An 18926-nucleotide genomic window follows, 5' to 3' on the forward strand; every position below is an offset into this window, starting at 1 on the left:
ATAGGTTTAGTGTATTCATTTTTAAACCTGTTTGTAAAGTCACTTATCCAAGTAAAAGAAGCAGTTTTTGCACATCAGGCAAGGTTACTGAGTCATAAAATTAGAACTACAATATTGTTACTTTTCAGTCAGATATTTGAGACTGTGACCTTGGGTGGGACCTGGTACTACATACTTCCTGGATGATTCTACTCAAGTCCCTGGAGAACTCTGGGTCCTTTTCTCCCTTCCCTTCCCTTCCCTTCCCTTCCCTTCCCTTCCCTTCCCTTCCCTTCCCTTCCCTTCCCTTTCCTTCCCTCCCCTCCCCTCCCCTCCCCTCCCTTCTCTTCCCATCCCCTTCCCTTCCCTTCTTTTCTCTTTCCTACCCTTCTCTTCTCTTTCCTTCCCTTCTCTTCTCTTTCCTTCCCTTCTCTTCTCTCTCTCTCTCTCTCTCTCTCTCTCTCTCTCTCCCCCTCTCTTTAAAAAAAATAAAGATGGGGTCTTGCTATGTTGCCCAGGCTGGTCTTGAACTCCTGGGCTCAAGTGATCCTCCTGCCTTGTCTTCCCAAGGTGCTAAAATTACAGGCATGAGCCACTGTGGACTTGGGTCTTTTTCTAGAGCCAGGTTCTGTCTTCCATTGTCGATGGGTAACCTCCATCTTCATACCTTCCACTGGGGTTTACTGCAGCTCAGTGCATTCCATTTCTTTTGGGAGTCTTTCACCATTAACCATTGTTTCCCTTAACTTGTTTCAGCCCTCACCTGTGTTGTGGCTGATTCCATCACCACTTGATTGGATTACATGAATCTCTTTACCATCTAATTGAATTCTGAATTCCTCACATATTTTGCTGTGCAACCTGTCTAAGGAGTCAGGTTAGGAGGCTGTTATAGTCAGAGGCAGATGTGGTGGTCACCTGGATGTGGGGGTGGAGATGACCCCAGAGCTTCTTAGGGCAGGGATCAAATAAGATTTAGTGACTGATTAGATGCTGGAGAAGAGGATGTTGAGGGAAGAAGAAAGAGTCAGAGAAGCTGCCCAGATTTCTGCATTAGACAACTGGGTAGAAATGTGTTTTACATAAAAATCACTGATCATTTATTGAAAACTAAGTACTTACATGAAACTGATTTAATTAGCCAAACAAATGGTAATTTGTAAACAGACAGATACAACCTACTAGAGGCAATGGGGTCAAGTGACCAAGGATTGGGAGTCAGGGAACCTTTCCCAGCTTTGCCACTGACTTTCTAGTTGCCCTTGGGATAAATCCTGTGTGCTCTGTGGGCTTCCCTCTCTTGTAAATAAGAACATCTGCCTAAAGCCTGAGTTCTGTTAACTCTAAAATGCATAAAACTGTCAAATGAGAGGGTTGGATTAAGCAAAGTTGCACAAGCTTCTCTGATAATTTGATGAACACCAAGCACCCTCTCCCTGGGAAAATGCAGGGAATATTTACATACGCTTTCTCCGGGTTCATTCCTTCCTCCTCTCACCCCCAACACTCATGGATTAGATGGACTTCAAAGCTCTTTCATGTTGTTACATGTCCTCTTCAGCATTTAAAATCTCCTTACCTTTTCCAAAGAAACAACATAAAAATGATGATGCCTTTGTTAGTTGCTGTGTTCTTTCTTTTCCCTTTGAATTACCCCCGCTATCTATTTAAAGAGGAGTCCCTCAGGGCAAAGGCTGTCTCTGTCCTTGTTTCAGTGGCTGGAATGCAGTTGGATGCTTAACAACACCTAATTATAATAATATGGATTAGGGTATAATGCCATCTGTAAACCTTGGTAAGCTTAGGATAGATTAATAATATTTTAACAATCTGTACGAAACAGTAGATGGACATCATTTAAGGGAGTGTAAAAGGGAACTTTTGCTTCTATGGTGCAATACAGGATTAATTAAACATCCCCCAGGAGTTTATCTCTAAGAATCCATGTCTCACAGTGAATATATATATATTTTTTTTCAAGAATTATTCAAAGTTATCAAGATGAATCACTAGACCTTCTGTTATTAAAACCCTTTATTCAGAACAGTAACCTGATCTTCAAGGTTAGCTTTCTGTATACTACCTGGAACCCTGATGGAAAGATTTGGTTTGGTTAGAGATGTTTTCTGGTTGACTGAGGATTTACCCCTTGAACAAAATCTTTTCTTTTTTCTTTAACCATTTTGGAGAAAGAAATTTCTGAAATGTGCTGTACACTTCACTGCCCTCTGAAACAGATGATCTGGAACATAACGTTCCCTTATGGGCATTGATTATTACATTGTGGTATGCGGTAGTCTTTAACAACTTTTAGGGCTAGGTAATCTTATTCCTATTGAAGTAGATGTAGAATTGTTTGCTTCAACACTACTTAGCCCCAGTCTACAGATTTTGATTTTTGTTGGAGTTATCCAGGCGCATAGTTCAAAGAGACAACCAGATCTTGTGGGTTTGTTAAAAAAAACAAGTCCCAGGCTGCCTTGCACCTATTTCCCTTCCCCTACAGGGAACCACTTTTTTTTTTTTTTGAGACAGTCTCGCTCTGTCGCCCAGACTGGAGTGCAGTGGCACGATCTCGGCTCACTGCAAGCTCCGCCTCCTGGGTTCACGCCATTCTCCTGCCTCAGCCTCCAGAGTAGCTGGGACTACAGGCGCCTGCCACCACGCCCGCCCGGCTAATGTTTTGTATTTTTTAGTACAGACGGGGTTTCACCATGTTAGCCAGGATGGTCTCGATCTCCTGACGTCGTGATCCACTCGTCTCGGCCTCCCAAAGTGCTGGGATGAACCACTTATATATATATATTTTTAGCTGATTAAAAATTACCTTCCATATCTTAAATCCCATGGTTGTATTGCTACTTTTTTACTTTCCTCTTTTAGACTCTATCTATTGAATCCCACTATGGAAGATGAGAATTTAACTCTTGCCTTATCCCATCCCTACCATGCACTCACTTCCCATCCTCCCAAGATAATTTATCTTTTTTTTTTTTTGAGACGGAGTCTCGTACTGTTGCACGAGCTGGAGTGCAGGGGCGCAATCTCGGTTCACTGCAACCTCCACCTCCAGGGTTCAAGCAATTCTCCTGCCTCAGCCTCCTGAGTAGCTGAGATTACAGGCACCTGCCACCACACCCAGCTAATTTGTTGTTGTTGTTGTATTTTTTAGTAGAGACGGGTTTCACCATGTTGGCCAGGTGGTCTCAAACTCCTGACCTCGTAATTCGCCCGCCTCAGCTTCCCAAAGTGCTGGGATTACAGGCGTGAGTCACCAAGCCAGGCCCCCCAGTTTATCTTTTTAATTAAATCAATATCCAGTGTTTACATTATTATGACTCTATATACTAGTGAGAGATCAGCCATGTATAAAACTCTAATTACTTTTTTTTCTGCGTAATTTTTTGGGTTTTTTTCTCAAGTTAATAATTGTTTTGTTTGTTAGATTATTTTTTCAATTTGCTTTGATGTTCTGTGTATTTAGTTCTGATTCAACCAATTGTCTAAATCAGTGCTTCTCAGACTATCTGTGATAAAGAACTAGTTTTTAAAATTGCTACTTTGTTACAGGCAGATACTTTTATAAAATACAATAAAAATATACTTCTAGAACAAACTGTTCACAGCACCAGTTGTCTGGCCACACTTGGTGTAGCACTGTTCAAGTCTTCTTTCAATGCATCTAAACACACTGGGTGTTCTCTCGGTTTTGGCTTTTTGAGGAAGCCTCTCTGGAGCCTTTTGATGTGACAATATGGATTGGTTGCCTTCAATAAACCAAGTGCATGTCTGTTTCATGGGTCAGATTCTCCTTTTCCTTCAGCCTTGGGCTTCTCTTTGCTTTCTTATTCTGGTTCCTCGATCCTGTGCCTTCCTCATTCACAAGTTAACCCTTCTTATGCATGGGCACATCCTCCAGTGGCTTCCTAGAAAAGTGTATGTGGAAAATAAATGTTTTGAATGTCAAAAAAAGAAAATATTTTTATTTTACTCTCTTGTCTGCTTATTTGCCTGAATATAGAATTCTTGGTTGGAACTAACTTTTCTTCAGAATGTTTGATTGTCTTCTGGCTTCCAGTGTTGCTGTTGAGAAGTCTAAGACCATTCTGGTTCCAGAACTTATCTTTATTTTTGGAATCTTACAAGGTTTTTCCATGAACATTGGTATTCTATATTTCACATCATGTAGATTTCTTTTTCATCCTTTATTCTGGGAACTTTTAATTCTCAGAAATGTTCTTAAATAATTTTCTTCATTCTCAGTCTTTCATGTTCTCTTCCTGGAAGTACTATTGTCTATAAGTTGACCTGCTGGATTGGTCTCTTATGTAAGGGTCCTCTGAGTCAATGGATTTGGTTCTCTGCTTTCCCCTCTGCTGACTTAGAAATTAGCATTTTCCAGGCTAAGTCATCTGTCCTTGTAGCTACCAAAATTATGCATGATTGCCTCCTCTCCCACCCTAGTGGATTTACGCCTTTTTATAGTAATTTTAGTGGAGTTTCAGGAGGGAACAAAATTAGATGTCAGTCTGCCGTCGTCCCCCAGTACCTGGTGTCTGCTTCCTATTGTTCTCAGATTGCCAACTGTACATTCCCTTCAACCAGGTAACATAATAGTTGAGGTTGTAGCTGTTGGATTCCAGCCCCACTGATGTCCCTTGCCAGCTGTTTGACCTTGGACAAATTACTTCACCTCTCAGAAATTCAGTTTGTTCATCTCTCTGATGGGGAGAATAATAATACCTACCCCATGTGATTGTTGTGAGCACTAAAGGATCGTGTAGTGAATACACCATCGCTGTTCCATATGTGGTAGCTATTATTGCCACTCCTGCGGGAGGCTTGACCTTTCCTCCTCTTCTCTATCAAAAATAGTCTATGGACTAGAAAATTGCATTGCCATGCAAGTTAGACTGAAGTAAGACTCCCCAGGAGCTCTCCTAAGGTGTAATGGATAAACATTATTGCATAGACTTTATGGCATCTATTAATAGTTTGGCTGCCCAGAAACTTAGATTTTAGTTTTAGCTATTCTCCCCAGAATGGTCAAGATACTCTCTCCAAAATGCTGATCTTGTCAGTGAATGTCCTGAGTCTTCATGATGAAGGCCAAGTCCCTAGCAAGGTGTCAAGGCATCTTCCTGTATCTCTGGCCTTGTGCGCCACCCACTGTGGCCCACAGGACTTGAGGTCCTGCTTATATCCTTCTCTCTCAAGTTTTCCTCTGCCAGCCCTGCAGAGTGCAGAGCCAAGCCTGCTCTTCCCTCAAGATTCAGTGTAGCTTTCACCCAATTCTGGAAGCCTTTTTTGGCCTTTCCCTACCTCCGCTTCTGTCTCTCAGTTCACACGCTGGGTTAGTGCATCTTCTGAGACTCATTACCTTCTGTGTGTACACCCCTCTGTCACAGTGCTTGTGACTATTGTAGGTGTTTACTTATCTTTCCCACCCACAAAACTGTAATTGCTCTGTAGCTAGTGGATGTGACCTTCTTATTGTTTTATTCTTAGAACCCAGTATGGTGCCTGCTACATCTTAAGTGTTTATAATTTTTGAAGTGAAATATTATTTACTGAATGAATGTATGAATGAAAAGGCCTCACATATTAGTTTGGTTTCACCTACTTGCAGAATAAAATTCTCAAATTGCGGAACTTGAAAATGTTATATATATATATATATATATATATATATATATATATATATATATATTTTTTTTTTTTTTTTTTTTTTTTTTTTTTTTTTTTTTTGAGACAGAGTCTCTCTCTGTCGCCCAGGCTGGAGTGCAGTGGTGCCAAGGCTCACTGCAAGCTCTACCTCCTGGGTTCACGCCATTCTTCTGCCTCAGCCTCCCAAGTAGCTGGGACTACAGGCACCCGCCACCACGCCTGGCTAATTTTTTGTATTTTTAGTAGAGACGGGGTTTCACCATGTTAGCCAGGATGGTCTCGATCTCCTGACCTCGTGATCTGCCTGCCTTGGTCTCCCAAAGTGCTAGGATTACAGGCGTGAGCCACTGCACCCAGCCCAAAATGTTGTATTTTTTATAGAACTTCAGTGTTCAATGCCTGCCAGAATAACAATATTTACTTGGCATTGTACTTAAAAGCCTATTTGGGTAGGGACATTACGATCGAGGTGCTGGAAATGCTCCAGTCCTCTTCTTCATGCTTACCAGCTGCCTGGTGCATCTAGCATGAGAGCGATCACCATGTAATAATGCCCTAAGCAGACTAATATGGTTTGGGTCTGTGTCCCCCACCAAATCTCATGTCGAATTGTAATCCCCAGTGTTGGAGCATGGTCCTCGTAGGAGGCGATTAGATCGTGGGGCCGGATTTCCAGCTTGGTACTGTTCTGGTGATAGTGAGTGGGTTTTCGTGACTTCTGGTCATTTAAAAGCGTGTGGCACCTCCCCTTTCTCTCTCTTGGGCCTGCGCCTGCCATGTAAGATGCCTGCTCCCACTTTGCCTTCCACCATGAGTCAAAGCTCCCTGAGGCCTCCCCAGAAGTAGGTGCTGCCATGCTTCCTGTATAGCCTGCAGAACCATGAGCCAAACACACCTCTTTTTAAGATAACTTACCCAGTCTCAAGTATTTCTTTATAGCAATGTAAGAATGAACTAATACACAGACACAGGCGGCAGCTCTGTAACTTTTCTAAGAAGCCCAGCAATAACATTTCAGTCACTTTTGTGGGTGCTCATTGCCCTTCCTAAAATACAAACACTCTGCATGCTGTTTCCAGCCAAATTAAGACAGGGCAAGCTTTACATGTCTAATGAAGGAACAGCTCAGAAGATTAGGAACAAAGCATTTCGGTCACACGAACATACGTTTCAGACATGTGAGGGCAGGGACTCCCGTTCATCCACCAATAGGTTCTATCAGCTTCAGCTTTTATCCTAGTTGCTCCTGAAGGAATCTGGATTAACATAATGAGGGTGCTCATGAACCAGCTCATTATCATTTTAAAAAACTTCAGGGCCAAATAAAACACCAGACTTTATTTTCAAGCTGTACTACCGACAGACTTTTATTTAATGAACTATTTTCTGCTTACAGATGGAGGTGGAAGTTGTATTCACAAGCTCTAAATGTCAGCCTTCATCTTTAGACCTAGTGGAAAGCAAAGAAGACAAAACGTGATGCAATGAACCTTGTTATGGTACCCAAAATATGGGGATCTAGCTTCTGTTAGCATGCCTGCATCCCTGTCTTGGCCCCACTGATGAGGAGCAGGCAAGATAGGGATTCTGAGTATGAAGGAAGTTACTGAAGCAATTAACAATCAGAGTGTCTGATTAGTGCTATAATTTCAAATGTAAACAACAACAAAAAACCTTTTAGATTTCAGGTGAGAATTGCACTCTTCAAAGATGGTTCCTCTCTGTGGCTGTAGTTAGTGTAGTGAATTGGATATTCTTGGATTGAGTCAATTTTATATCTCAAGTATATTTTTCTTTTCTTTCTTTCTTTCTTTTTTTTTTTTTTTTTTGAGACAGAGTTTTGTTCTTGTTGCCCAGGCTGGGGTATGCAATGGCACGTTCTTGGCTCACTGCAACCTCTGCCTCCCAGGTTCAAGTGATTCTCCTGCCTCAGCCTCCCAAGTAGCTGGGATTACAGGCATGTGCCACCACACCCGGCTAATTTTTTGTACTTTCAGTAGAGACAGGGTTTCTCCATGTTGGTCAGGCTGGTCTCGAACTCCCGACCTCAGGTGATCTGCCTGCCTCAGCCTCCCAAAGTGCTGGGATTACAGGCATGAGCCACCGTGCCTGGCCCCAAGTATATTTTTCATCTCTCAATATGCATTCATGTTTTACCAAAAGAAAGTGAAGACTCGTCTGGGCACGGCGGCTCACGCCTGTAATCCCAACACTTTGGGAGGCTGAGGCGGGTAGATCACAAAGTCAGGAGATTGAGACCATCCTGGCCAATATGGTGAAAATCCACCTCTACTAAAAATACAAAAATTAGCCAGGCGTGGTGGCGTGTGCCTGTAGTCCCAGCTACTCAGGAGGTTGAGGCAGGAGAATTGCTTGAACCCAGGAGGCAGAGGTTGCAGCGAGCTAAGATCGCACCACTGCACTCTAGCCTGGGAGAAAGAGCGAGACTCCATCTCAAAAAAAAAAAAAAAAAAAAAAAAAAGAAAAGAAAAAGAAAGTGAAGACCCATCTATAGCAGCGTCTCTTCCAGGAAATTCAAAAGACACTGACAAAGCAAGATCAAAATTACAAAATTGACTTTGAGGAACAAGTCAATGGTGTTAAGCAGCCTTATCATTATTAAATGGAATAAAAAACTATTATATGCATATGAGCCCAAAGCAAAATCGATCAGAAGAGTTAATCACCCTCATCAAGTCACATTTCTTGAAGTGCCCTCTGGGTGCAATTTATCACTGCTTTTGGATGCTGGCCGTTCATCTCTTCAAGGGCAACAGACTCAGAATAGGAAGCTGCTCTGGACCTTGGTTGGGACTGGAGGGAGAGAAGGAAAGAGAAGAGGGATCCTTGGATCCATGGATTCCACTTACTGCGTTTATGTTGCTCAAGATATCAGTGGCTCCACTGACTCCAACCAACTTGGACCCACAAGATATATTAAAAAGTAATTTCTGTATTGAAGGGCTTTTATTCTTATCTGGGAGATGTAGCATGTCCTTGTGTTCCAGGCAAATTGAATTTAATTGTTTAGTGCTTTGAGCCATGTGCATTCAGGGAGCTTTATTGGATAACCTGTTTATTGATTTATAGTCCCTTGGCCGTAGAAGAGGCACAAGGGAGAGCTAATGATGGTCTGAGTGTGTGTCTTCCACTCATCAAGCCCTGGGCAGAGACCGGTGGGCTATGGGTCTCCTCTCCCAGAGGCCTCTAAAGTCCCCAGACTTGTCCTGATGTGGCTTTGCTTTTGCTCATCACCTGGGAATTGGACCCAAGGAGGCATTACGTTTTACACATCAAAAATACAGGCATCTCCTTCTGTTTCCTAAAACTGAGGAAAGTAGTTACTATTGATCCATTGCCCATTCTGGCCAGGCATGTGCTAGTAGTGATTTTGCCCATTTGAACTCAAATCTTCACATTCTCATGGCAGATTTTATTATTTCCATCTTACATATGAGGAAACAAAAACTCAGAGAGGTGAAGTGACTTGCCCGCCACTATTTAAATGATATAGCCAGGGTTTAAACCCAGGTCTGTCTGATTCATTCTCTTTTTGCTCTGAATCAACAAGAGACTGGTGTGTGTGTGTGTGTGTGTGTGTGTGTGTGAGTGTGTTTGTGTGTGAGAAAGACAGAGAGAGAAAGAGAGAGGTCTGTATTTATATCTGCATGAAATTGGGACCATACTTTATATATGGAGAAAGTCTGGGTTCCATAAAAGTTAAACAGAATTACCATATGATGCACCAATTTCTCTCCTAGGTATATACCCCAAAGAATTCAAAACAGGGACTCAGATACTTGTACACCAATGTTCACTGCAGCATTATTCACAGTGGCCAAAGGTGGAAACAACTCAAGCGTCTATCAACTGATGAATGGATAAACAAAGTGTGACATATATATGCAATGGAATATTATAGCCATAAAAAAGAAGTTCTGATTATGCTACCACATGGATGAACTTTGCAAACATTATGCTCAGTGAAACAATCCAGACACAAAAAGACAAATACTGCATGATTTCACTTATATGAGGTACCTAGAACAGGCATATTCATAGAGATACAAACTAGAATAGAGGTTACCAGGGGTTGGGGGAGGGGAAATGGGGAAGTTTCTGTCTTGGATGATGAAAAACTTTTGGGAATAGATAGTGGTAATGGTTACACAGTGTTGTGAAGGCCAATGCCACTAGATTGTACACTTAAAAATGGTTGAAACGGTGAGCTTTGTGTTGTATATATTTTACCACAATTTATTTAAAAGCCTGGCATGATGCAAAGAGTCAAACACACCTGGATGTGACTCCTACCACCTGTATAAATTGGGCAAGTAACTTAGCATCTCTTAATCTGTTTTCTCGTTTTAAAAATGGAGATGATGATGCCTAGTTCACTAAGTTGCTGTAGGGCACAAATTGTCTAGCCAGTACTGAGCACAAAATATAAGCACTCACTATATGGTGCTGGTGGTGGAGACATTAGTAGTGGTAGTAAGTTATTATTCTTGTTAGTTTGAAAGCCCACACCAGGAAGGTTTAAACACACAGAGAGTATGACTCCTCACACACATTGACGACTGCTTAAACAATAACTGAGATTTTGCTCTTGTTTTGGAAGAATTTTTTTCAACGGAATGCCATTGAGGAACCAGGTGTTTGAAAAACGTGGCTGTGTTAAGTTAAATGAGCCTTTTTTGGACTCCAGATGGGAGCATAAAGCTGTTTGAAACCCCAACGGTCTTTTCTTGTTGATTTTCACATGACTGAAAAATGATTTGAGCACATTACAGAGGAGCAGTGATGTGTTCTTGCTGCCAGTTCATGGTTCCTATTTGGGAAAAGAAGAGATATTAGAGCAAAAACTCATAAGCCTTGAAAATAGGAGGCTTGTAATAGAAGCCTCTTTAGAGGCCTTTAATTATGGCATTGCTGAGGTGACATGCTAATTACAGGGCTCTCAGACAATTCCCTTCAGCTGAGTAGAGTCATCCATTGCCTCGTGTATCAGGAAGTGGAGTTCTGTGTTAAAAGAATTGGAAGATATCTACCAAGTTTCAAGAGACCCACAGAAGACATTTAAATACATGTAGTAGACTGTTTGATTTCTGTGCTCCGTAGAGCAGATGATCAACTCTCCCACCCGATGTATATTGAATCTGCTTTCAACACACGTGAATATTTTCTCAAATAAGCTATGCCAAATTCTTACGGGCTTTGGCTGCAGCCCCCTAATAAAGCACAGCTGTAGACCTGGAAACTTGTCCTTTGAACATTTGGAAGCATCGCTGCAGGCTACTTCCTTTGCTTGAGACACATCTGGCCACTGAAAAATAATGCGAGTTTGTATTTAACCCTCGGGTCTTTAAAGAAACTATTTGGTGGAGCTTAGCTTTAATTTATTTAGTGGTTCCCCCATGAACTGCAAGAGCGAACACGCCTCTAAAAGTAAGCCTTAGCCCTTCCTGTCACCTGTGTGTCATGGGAAAGTACTGCCTTGAATAGTGGCTAAATTTTCCTTTTCTTAATTTCCTGTGGAACTGGAAGTAAATGGGTTTTCAGGTGGCACTTAGTGTCTCACACATATCACATGCATCATACTTGCTGAAATTAATTAGATGCTTTGTATGAGAAAGCAGACTAATCATGAGAGTACAACCATTCACAGATAATTGTTGTTATATTTTGGCATAGAACTCTTCAGACTTATTTCAATGCGTGAATATCAATTTTCTTTTTTTTTTGTAAAAATGGGATCATATGGTATATAGTTTTAAAACTTGCCTTTATCAAATACCAATATATTGTGAACATCATTCCATATAATATGTTAAATGGCTGCTTAGGACTTACCATCTGGATTCCAAATAATTTATAATATTTAACTAGTTTTGCAATTGTTTGACTTTTCATTTTATTTCATTTTTTATTTTTATTTATTTATTTTTTTGAGAAGAAGTTTTGCTCTTGTAGCCCAGGCTGGAGTGCAATGGCACAATCTTGGCTCACGGCAACCTCTGCCTCCCGGGTTCAAGCAATTCTCTTGCCTCAGCCTCCCACATAGCTGGGGTTACAGGCGCCTACCACCACACCCAGCTAATTTTTGTATTTTTAGTAGAGAGGGGGTTTCACCACGTTGAAGGCTGGTCTAGAACTTCTGACCTCAGGTGATCCACCCACCTCAGCCAAAGTGCTGGGATTACAGGCGTGAGCCACCGCACCCGGCCTTCTTATATTTTTTGAGACAGCATCCCACTCTGTCATCCAGGCTGTGGTGTAGTGGCCCAGTCTCAGCTCACTGCAACCTCCACCTCCCAGGTTGAGGCAATTCTCATGCCTCAGCCTCCCGAGTAGTTGGGATTATAGGCATGTGCCACCATGCCTGGCTAATTTTTGTGTTTTTAGTAATTTGGGATTGTGTTTTGCCATGTTGGCCAGGCTGGCCTCCACTGTTTAACTTTTAGATTGTTGACCTGATGACTCATCAGCTAGAATTAGGTTCAGCTTTATTCATAGAAAACTCCAAAGAATAGGCTTAAACAAGATGAATATTTATTTCCCTTGAACATAAGATAGCCCAGAGGTGGGCAGTCTAGGGTTGCTATGGCAGCCATCAAGGACTGAGGATTCTTCTACCTTTTTGTTCTATCATTTTTCGGGATAGCTTCTGTTTTAGTTTACTTTGTCTTGCTGTAACAGTATATCTTAGGTTGGGTGGTTTATAAAGAAAAGAGGTTTATTTCACTGGTGATTCTGGTGGCTGGCAGGTTCAAGTCTGGACAGGTGCATCTGGTGAGGTCCTCAAGCTGTTTCAACTCATGGCAGAAAGTGGAAGAGGAGTGGATGTGTGTAAACAGATCACATGGTGAGAAAGGAATCAAGAGAGAGAAACCAAGGAAGCCAGGCTCTTCATAACAACATACTCTCTTGAGAATGAATTTATTCCCATGAGAGTGAGAACTTGCCCACCACTGAGGGAGGGCATTAATCTATTCACGATGGATCCACTCTCAAGACCCAGACATCTCCCACTACGCTGCACCTCCCAACACTGCCACATTGGGGATCAAATTTCAACATGAGTTTTGCCAGGGACTAAACAAATCATGGCAGCTTCAATCCCCAGGGTCACTTCTTGGCTCAAAAAGAGCTGGACATCACATCCAAGTTCCAGATAATGCAGAGGAGAACGTAATAAAGGGTCCAAAGCGTTCCTCCCCAGCCAAATCAGCTGCTTTTAAGTAGCTTCCCTGGAAGTCCCATGCAACACTTCTGCTTACCTATAGTTGGCCAAACTCAGCTGCAAAGGAGGGTAAAAGGGATGTCAAAAGAGTTCTTTTGCTAAGGAAAAAAAAAAAAATGGCTATTGTGTAGCAACTAGTGGTTTCTGCCACACCAATCTTTCCCCTTATAATCAATGCTATCATGTATCTCTTCTAGCTAAATCTTTTTACACATTCATGATTATTTCCTTATCATTTATGCTGAGGCAGTAAATTGTGCCAGGTCAAGGGTGAGAACACCTAAAATATTATCTATTTTTTTGCTATTGAAAAAGCAATGTATGCTTATTGAAAACAGTTCAAACATAGTAGACCTATAAACTTGAAAAATACATTTTGCCACTCTGAAATGTTGTGCCAATTCATGTTATTCAGTAGTGTACGAAGGTGTCAGTTATACTATATTCTTACCATTCCCTTTTGCTCTGTTGCCTTATTAACCAGTCTGATAAGTTAAAAAAATATTAATTTGTGTTTCTTTGAATACTCACTAGTTGTCTGTTGAGGTCCTTTCCCATTTTTCTATTGGGGTACGTTTTAAAAATAATTTATATGTATATATATACTTTTTTTTTTAATTCCTTTTTTTGAAAAGTCTCACTCTGTCGCCCAGGCTGGAATGCAGTGACGCAGTCTCAACTCACTGCAACCCCCACCTCCTAGGCTCAACCGATTCTCCTGCCTCAGCCTCCTGAGTAGCTGGGATAACAGACCTCAAGTGATCCATCCGCTCGGCCTCCCAAAGTGCTGGGATTACAGGTGTGAGCCCCTGCACCTGGCCTATATTTTATATTTACCTGATGACCGCCATATGTTCTAATTTTTTTTTTTTTTTTTTGAGACGGATTCTTGCTCAGTCACCCAGGCTAGAGTGCAATGGCACAATCTCAGCTCACTGCAAGCTCTGCCTCCTGGGTTCACGCCATTCTCCTGCCTCAGCCTCCCGAGTAGCTGGGACTACAGGTGTCCGCCACCACGCCTGGCTAATTCTTTTTGTATTTTTAGTAGAGATGGCGTTTCACCGTGTTAGCCAGGATGGTCTCAATCTCCTGACCTCGTGATCTGCCCATCTCGGCCTCCCAAAGTGCTGGGATTACAGGCGTGAGCCACTGCACCTGCCCTGTTCTAATATTTTTTCAAGTTCACACTTTCTTTTCTACAGTGTTTTTGTCATGCAAAAATTTTAAACTTTATGCACTCAAATCTGTCTTTTCCTTTCAAGGCTTTCCCTTTGGTGTAAATGCTAACACTTAAAAGAAAAATATATATATTTTTATTTTCTAGGTGAAAATTTAAAAGTTCTATGTTGCCTTTGGAATTAAAGTCTTAGTGTTGAGAGCCAGCCATAGTAAAACAGGCAGTTTGTTGAAGAAGTAATCTCCCTTCTTTTCTCATAACACAAAGCTTTGTGCTGATTATCTGAGGGGATAAAATCAGCATGTTTCAACAATAAAACAGGACAGGTGAGCATCATTTTCTGCAACAGGTTTCTGACAATTGGTATGGAAAGGAAGTATTTGTTTTTCTAGAATTCTATTTTCTTGTTATCCTTATTATCTTTTTATTATTTTATTTATTTTTCGTAGAGATGAGGTCTTGCTGTGTTGACCAGGCTAGTCTCAAACTCCTGGCCTCAAGCAATCCTCCTGCCTTGGCCTCCCAAAGCATTGAAACTACAGATGTGAGATGCTGCACAAAGCCTAGAATCCTGTTTTCCTTTAATTTACATTATGTCTAACTTTAGGGAGATTTTTCACAAACCAGACTCCAAAATATTTATTAATTCAAATCGAGCTTCCCTGTCTTTGTAGAGCAATGTGGAATCGTGAGACAAACATGAGTCTTGAGGTGAAACAACCTGAGCTAAACCCTACCAACATGTATTACTTATGGGACTTTAGGTCACCTACATGACCTGGATGGGCCTCAGTTTGTCTTGTTGATTTGCAGGATTAAAGGAAATAATAACCATGAAAGCACCTAGCACCATAATTAGCTCATGGAGATGGAGGCAACCAGCAGATGTTTCTCCAATCTGCCCAGAAACAAGAGTTTAAGTGTATGGTGTCTGATAGTTTCTTTTGTGCTAAGAATCCCTTTACAATGCAAATAATCACCCCCTATTTTTTCTGTTTGGTAGTTACATGTTCAAATATTAGGGTACTATATAGGACAGTGCCCCCTTGGCCATCTCTGCTCCTGCCCTTCAGCATGGAGGCCAGTGTTACACGTTCTAGAATACCCTCTCTCCACCCTCAAAATAAACTCCAAAACCTTTGATAGATTTTGTTTAAACTGAAATATTTCAGTTAATGTGAGGAGAAGGGGCATGGGGGAGCTTGGCTAATAGGTACTACCTACACAGCCATATAGCTACAAGTCCTGGAGCCAGCAAGCAGCCCCACATCGTTCGATTCCTTCTCTTGCTTTTTAAGAACCTAGAATTTGTTCAGCTGTCTTAGACTGTATAGCATCTTAAGATCCTTGCAGAGGGAAGGATGAGGAGTTTTCATTTATGCTTGTGCTGGACCTGGTGAAACTCAGGCCTGGAGAAAGAAAGAAAGGACTTGGGTAAAATAGTGCAGTCAGTGGTCGAGCTGAAACCAGGGTGGCTGCTCCAGGCTCCCCAGCCTGCCCTCCAAGTCCTTCAGAGCTGATGACCCGACATGGTTAGTCGCTCACAAGCTTGAGCATTAGAGGTCAAGATGATCATTAGTTGTGGCCTGGAGAAGAGCCATTTTATATCCAAGGGAATAATATGCCAGCTGAATAGGAACATTAGCGATTTTCATTTGCTATGTGCTAATTTGTCTTGCAAAAGGTGATCTGACTTCTTTAAGCCTCAAGCTGGCAGATTTCAGTCTGTGCTATTTCTGAGGTCTTGGCAGCAGAGCTCACTCTCCATCCCAGATCTCTGAGAACTCCAAAGAATCTGGTACAGGGTGTTCCTGTGAATTAAGATTTTGACAAGCATCAACAGAATCTGGGTGATACCGAGTGGAACAGGAACACGTGGTGAGTGGCTCAGGCCCCAACATCCCCTTCGGCTTTCAAGCAGATGGGCTGTTCAATAGCCGTGGGACTCAGGAAAACCTTTCACAGGGCTCTTACTGAAGAGATGAGCATGGAGGGAGCATGGAAGTGAGACCTGCTAGGAGCAGGCGACTCACCACGTGCCAGCCATGTTCCCTCAGCTGTGGAGGATATTGTTTATAAACATCAATTACCAATTATTCATCTGGGCCTGGCAGGTTCCATGAGTTTACAAGCCACATAACTTTAATAATTTCATCTCTGGAATTCACTGATCTAGCGCTTTTGTTTACTCTCCAGTAAGTTCATATAATGCACGTTTGTGTGTCAAGTGGGTAGGTTGTGGCACATGCTGGGAAACAGAGATTTGACCCCAAAATTTATCAACAAATTTAGAATGAACAAAAATTATTTTGGCATTGGCAAAATTTGCACTGGCTTCTTTATCTTTTTGGAATGCCCAAGGAGTTTAGTTTGTTGAGTTCATCTTGACTCTAAGCCCTCTGCTATGGTTGGAATGTTGGTGTCTCCTCAAAATTTGTAACTTGAAACCTAATTTCCAGTGTGATGGTACTAACAGGTAGGGCCCTTGGGGTGACAAGGTTATGAAAGTAGAGCCCTCAGGAATAGGATTAGTGCTCGTCCAAAAGAGGCCTCAGAGATGCCTTGCCCCTTCCACCATGGGAAGACACAGCAACAAGGTGTCATCTATGATACAAACCAGAAAGTGGCCCCCTCACGAAATCTGCTGGTACCTTGATCTTGGACTTCCCAGTGTCTAGACCTGTGAGAAATAAATTTCTGTTGTTTATAAGCCAACCAGTCTATGACATTTGATATAGCAGCCCAGATGGACTAAGACTCTCTGTCCCTAGCCCCTCTAGCTTTGGGATATGGAAAGTAAACAGCTCTTAGAAACAGTCCAGAGTTCAACTTCACGCTGCATTTCAGAGAGGGGTCTCTGAAACACTCTCCCCTCAGTTAACGTTGATGGTTGTTAACTGAGAACTGGAAGTCCCGGGCTGGGCCTGTGGATAGGATTCTGACAATTCAGGGTGTGTCTGATGAGTTAGTGGTGGCAATGTCTGGCCTGTGTCTCTCTGCAGGAGGTAATTTACATGAGGAAGTGAGCCTTGCTCCAAGAGGAAGTTGTGCACCCAGGAAGACATGCAGACAGGGGGCAACAGGAAAATACCATGTCGTATGCTTCAACTGTGAGCCCTCACAGCAGGTCCTTGGAATTCATCTGAGTCCCTTGGAGAGGGCTACAAGCCCAAGCTGAACAGTAGTTTTCATCAGGACTGTGGCCTGTGGCAGCGCAGGCAGTGCCCCAGGGCCTAGAAGACTCAGGGCAGCAGAGCTGGACAGAGGAGTGCCTCAGAGAGCTGCACTGTTGCAGCAGAGACTCCAGGGAACCTAGCCCTGCCTTGCTACCCAGAAGAGTAGCTCCCTAGGAATGTCTGTAGCCAACGCCCCAGGTGTGGCCACAGCATTCCCATGGAGGTTGCCAGGGCTAGGGATGAGTCCCAGTCCTCACTGGACTTTGTAGAGAGGTGACATCAACTAGGGGCCTGAGTAAAAGAGCATCAGAGGGCTGTTTGTGATGCAAGTAAGCCACCCCAGCGTCCCTCAGCAGTGACTGGATAGGACTTTCAGTGGAACAAGAGCCAGTGAATTTGGGGTCCTATTAATATCACTTGCAGAGTGCCTGCGGAAGCGGGGGCTATTTGGAATTCTCTTCCTTTCTCAACTCAGGGAAGAGCAACCAATAAATGTGGGGGACAGTGGCAATGGTAGCAGTCTCTGGCTTTGAGTCTCAGCCACTGTCATCTTTGGAATCCAATACCCTCAAGCTCTGCCCTTCCCTGCCCTTCCCTCCCCTTCCCGGGGCTCTTAAATTCTCTCCGAGTGTCACTAAAGTTTCCTGCCTGCCCTTCCAGGGCTGCTCTGTCTTTCTCACTGCAGTTCCCCTGCCTTCTACACTGTTTGATGTTGCTGTTAAGATTCCACCGTCTCCTTTTCCACTGGCACCAACTCCAATTTCTCACACTGATGTTGGTGCTTCTCTTATCATTGTAGATCTTGGTGCCCAACCCACCCTGCCAGGGTAGGGTGCCCTCTTCCCATCAGAGTTAAACTTTTCTTTGGTTCCTTAAAATATCTTTTGCTCCCTAATCTGCTTTCCGCCTTCCCACTTAAACAACTTAAGAACAAGTTACTGCCAAGGAGGGTTGCATGTGAACGGCTTTGCAAAGTGTGTCATGAAAAAGTTCTCTTTCCACTGACTATAAAAGAGGGTCCTCTCAAATTCCTCCAGCTATGGGACAATTTCCTAATGCATATCCCTCTGCTTGGTGTTCATTCTTCACATCCACTTAAACATTTCATTTCCTATCTTTAGCATCTCTCCTTCCAGACTGGAATTCCACGAAACAATCTGACACTCCCTTTCAGAAGACTTTCCTTATGAAATATCTGGCAGTTACTTCTGTTTGTTTAAACTTGAAAAAAAAAATCAATGATTTCAAATTGCAAATTCAGTTAAAATTTACTTTGCGATAATGTTGTAGGATAATACTGCCAGAGTTTGGAAGCAGAAAGCAAATGAAGCAGGAAAACAAGATAATCGAGAGGATGGTAGAACAGGATCTCTGATTAGTGAAGCACGATTACACGGAATAAATACAATATTGATTCTTGTGTAAAAATCACCCGCAGATGAGGGGAAAAAAGATGATGCTTTGTCATCTTTCCTTTTCCTTTCTAGTTTTCAGGCTATTTTCAAGTTCTCTTGTATTCATTTCATTTGGTTTTTGTTTTTAATACATTTCTGATTTAGAAGATTGATAGTTCTTTAAATGTCTTTCAACTCCTAGTATTTCCTTTTTAAAAACATGTTCCATCTGAACCCCGTAGTTCTATGTCAGGTTTATTCTTTGGCCATTCCTCACTTACTACATGATG

General features: G+C 42.3%; 1 long non-coding RNA gene across 2 annotated transcripts in view, besides 1 other annotated feature; it reads right to left on the minus strand.

Moving 5' to 3' along the window:
• Nucleotides 1278-1856: an enhancer, noted in NCBI's record as "NANOG hESC enhancer chr3:54014583-54015161 (GRCh37/hg19 assembly coordinates)". NCBI's record gives its function as "activates a minimal SCP1, AML or CMV promoter by ChIP-STARR-seq in naive H9 embryonic stem cells {active_cell/tissue: H9 hESC(naive)}" and the evidence as "EXISTENCE:reporter gene assay evidence [ECO:0000049][PMID:30033119]".
• Nucleotides 6987-18926, minus strand: part of LOC105377095 (uncharacterized) — a 48956-nt gene continuing 37016 nt past the window's right edge. The window contains exons 5-6 of one of the 2 annotated variants that reach the window (XR_940848.3): nt 8334-8460; nt 6987-7096 (exon numbers count right to left, since the gene is read on the minus strand). This is a non-coding gene — a long non-coding RNA (uncharacterized LOC105377095). Of the gene's footprint in view, nt 7097-8333; nt 8461-10261; nt 10478-18926 lie in introns of those variants that run through there. The other variant, XR_940850.3, reaches the window with a different exon arrangement.

The sequence above is a fragment of the Homo sapiens genome, chromosome 3 (genome assembly GCF_000001405.40).
Source record: "Homo sapiens chromosome 3, GRCh38.p14 Primary Assembly".
Taxonomy (NCBI): Eukaryota; Metazoa; Chordata; class Mammalia; order Primates; family Hominidae; genus Homo; species Homo sapiens.